Consider the following 3,992-nt stretch of genomic DNA (forward strand, 5'->3'; position numbering starts at 1 on the left):
GCCTCCCCAAGTGCTGGAATTACAGGCGTGAGCCACCACACCTGGCCTGAACTGCTTGTGAATGATCATTTTACAGCCTGCCATGTATTTACTTCCTCTACAAAGACCTTTGTGCTTAATTCTTCGCCAGTCTTCTCTACAGTCCCTCATTTAATTGAAATTACTCATTTATAAGCCTCTTTTAACATTTATTTATTACTTGTGTAGCACTTACTAAACATCAGGCAGTCTCCTAAGTGCATTACATGTATTAATTCAGTTATTTCACACAGTAACTGCATTAGGTAGGTACTATCATATATGTGTTTATTTATCAATAGGTATTTTTCATCCATGTAGAAAAGAGTGTTAGAAAAAGACTGGGGGCTGGGCACAGCGGCTCAGGCCTGTAATCCTAGCACTTTAGGAGGCCGAGGTGGGAGGACTGCTTGAGCCCAGGAGTTCAAGAACAGCCTGGGCAACACAGTGAGACCCCATTGCTACAAAACATACCAAAATTAGTGGGGTGGCATACGCCTATAGTCCCAGGAGGCTGTGGTGGGAGGATCACTTGAGCCTTGGAGGTTGAGACTGCAGTGAGTTGTGATCATGCCAACCTGGGCACCAGAGAAAGGATCTGTCTGCCATCCTCCCACCCCAGGCCCCGCCAAAAAAAAAAAAAAGAAAGAAAAAAAAAGTATAGCCTCACAGAAATCTTAGGCCACTTCGGTTAGGGAGTGACAGTCCCACGACTAACTTGGGTCTCCTGACTCCTGTCTATGGGACTTTCTGCTAACACTCACCTTCTAACTCCAATTCCACCTGTCCCAAGTCAAAAACCCTAATTTCAGCATCTCCGGGTCGGGGTCCAGGTGCCTCACCGTCCCTTTTGCTTGTGTCCCACGCTCCAGACTCCGCGCGCGCCTGGGCGAGGCTGTTGGGTAGGGCGTGCGCACGAGGCACCCAGGATGGGGGACGGAGGTGTTCACTGCAGGCGCCAACCGCATGCTCACAATGCTCACCTGCAGGCCTTGCCACCCAGGGTGGGTATGGAGCACTGGAGTCTTCTGTATAACTACAGTTCTGGCTCTGGATTTTCCGAGATCGCGACTGTGGCCGAGGCAGGGGCACCAGCAACCAGTGGCGCTCAGTGAAGGGCAGGCTGGGTCTGTTCCGCCATTTGCCGGACCGGGGTGGCCGAGCCGAGGACCTGGAGGAGAAGCGCCCTGCGCCCTCGGTCCGCCCACTCCCAAAGCCTTTCTTCGCTATCCCAGGAAGCAGCCCTGAGTTGTGGTTTGCGCCCGGGTGTGGGTTCTGTTCTGCAGCCCAGGCTCTGTCCGTGGTCTATGAAGGAGCCACCTAATACCGAGGGTCTGTGAGCTGGAGTGCCCATTGGCCAGGAGTCCCCAGCTCTGGGCAGAGGGAAGGCTTGGGCCTCAGGCGGGCTCAACACACCCTTAGCCGGTCAGCGTGGGGACCAAGTGTGGTGGGGCTGCAGAGGGCCTAGGAAAAGGAGAAAGGGGTTGAAGAGCAGCTACCTCCCGTTTGCTCTGTCTGGCACAGGGGCACCAACCCCTGGAAGTGGATAGAAGCACTTTAACTTCAAGTTTGAAGTTTGGAAAACTTCAGGCTTCACCTTGTACCCCAGTGAATGGCTAAACTAGCAAATCGATGGCCACTGTCTGATGTGTCCAACAGACGTGCCATTTGTCCCTCACTATGTTTTCGGTATCTTTGAGGCAACATTAAAAATTGGATTTCAGGCCAGGCTCAGTGGCTCACGTCTGTAATTCCAGCACTTCTGGAGGCTGAGGCAGGAGGACCACCTGAGGCCAGGAGTTCAAGGACAGCCTGGGCAACACAGTGAGACCCGTCTCTACAAAAAAATAAAAACTATGAGGCAGGAAGATCACTTGAGCCTGGAGGAGGCTGCAGTGAGCCGTGATTGCAAAGTGCATTCCAGCTGAGTGATGGAATTAGACCCTCTCTGAAACAAACAAACAAACAAACAAATCACCATCATCACTATCTTCTTTCTTGTGTCCTGATTTTTTTTTTTTTTTTTTTTTTTTTTTTGAGGAGTCTCGCTCTGTTGCCAGGCTGGAGTGCAGTGGTGTGATCTCCGCTCATTGCAACCTCCGCCTCCCGGGTTCAAGCAATTCTCCTGCCTCAGCCTCCCAAGTAGCTGAGATTATAGGCATGCGCCACCACACCCAGCTAACTTTTTTGTATTTTTAGTAGAGACAGGGTTTCACCATGTTAGCCAGGATGGTCTCTATCTCTTGACCTCATGATCTGCCCGCCTTGGCCTCCCAAAGTGCTGGGATTATGGGTGTGAGCCACCGTGTCTGGCCTTTTTTTTTTTTTTTTTTTTTGAGACAGAGTCTCGTTCTGTTGCCCAGGCTGGAGTGCAGTGGCACAATCTCTGCTCACTGCAACCTCTCCCTCTCAGGTTCAAGCGATTTTCCTGCCTCAGCCTCCCAAGTAGCTGAGATTACAGGCACACACCACCACACCCAGCTAATTTTTGTATTTTTTTTTAGTAGAGATGGGGTTTCACCATGTTGGCCAGGCTGGTCTCAAACTCCTGACATCAAGTGATCCACCTGCTTCGGCCTCCCAAAGTGCTGAGATTACAGGTGGGAGCCACTGCACCTGGCCTCTTGTATCCTTTTTGAGAACAGGGGAAGTCACAGAAATATCCCGATAGATGGCCTAAATGTCTCATTAGCTGAATTATAACACATGCCCATCTAAAAAAACCCAGCATATTGTTAAACCAAGACTGGCATTAAGACTCACTTCCGGTGGTGTGTGGTAGCTCACGCCTGTAATATCAGCACTTTGGGAGGCTGAGGTGGGTGGATCACCTAAGGTCAGGAGTTCGAGAACAGACTGATCAAAATGGTGAAACCCCGTCTCTACTAAAAATACAAAAAATTAGCCGGGTGTGGTGGTGGGCACCTGTAATCCCAGCTACTCGGGAGGCTGAGGCAGGAGAACCCCTTGAATCCGGGAGGTGGACATTGTAGTAAGCCGAGGTTGCACCACTGCACTCCAGCCTGGGCAACAAGAGTGAAACTCCATCTCAAAAAAAAAAAAAAAAAAAAAAGACTCATTTCCTGGAATTAGAACAAAAAAGGAAAAGCACATAGACAGGGAGTAACAGAACATCAACAAGGCTCTGATGGAAAAGAGGAAGCAAGGCGATGGCGGTGGACAGGGGAACAGATTTGAGTATAAAAGTAAGTGTTAAAAGCGCTATTTAGGCCAGGCCTGGTGGCTCATGCCTGCAATCCCAGCACTTTGGGAGGCTGAGGTGGGTGGATCATCTGAGGTCAGGAGTTTGAGACTAGCCTGGCTAACACGGTGAAACCCTGTTTCTACTAAAAATACAAAAAAAATTAGCTGGGCATGGTGGCACGTGCCTGTAATCCCAGCTACTTGGGAGGCTGAGGCAGAAGAATTGCTTGAACCCCAGAGGCGGAGGTTGCAGTGAACCAAGATTGTGCCGCTGCACTCCAGCTTGGGCAGTAAGAGTGAAACTCTGTCTTCAAAAAAAAAAAAAAAAAAAAAAGCAGTATTTAAAAAAAATTTTTTTTTCAAGACAGGGTCTTGCTCTGTTGCTCAGACTAGAGTGCAGTTGCACGATCACAGCTCACTGTAGCCTCGACCTACTGGGCTCAAGTGATCCTCCCACCTCAGCCTCCCAAGTAGCTGGTACTACAGGTGCACACCACCAAGCCTGGCCAAATTTTTGTATTTTTTGTAGAGACGGGATTTCAATGTGTTGCCCAGGCTGGTCTCAAAACTCCTGGGCACAAGCAATCCACCCACCTTGGCCTCCCGAAGTGCTGGGATTACAGGTGTGAGCCACTGTGCTGGCCTCTTAGTTTTCAAAATTCTTGACAATAATTCACAGGACATATATTTTATATAATAACCTTGTACACATACACACATTCATGTAACTGAAATGAGTTTCATGAAACATACTATGTAGAAAAATAAAA

Source organism: Homo sapiens, chromosome 7 (assembly GCF_000001405.40).
Source record: "Homo sapiens chromosome 7, GRCh38.p14 Primary Assembly".
Classification (NCBI taxonomy): domain Eukaryota; kingdom Metazoa; phylum Chordata; class Mammalia; order Primates; family Hominidae; genus Homo; species Homo sapiens.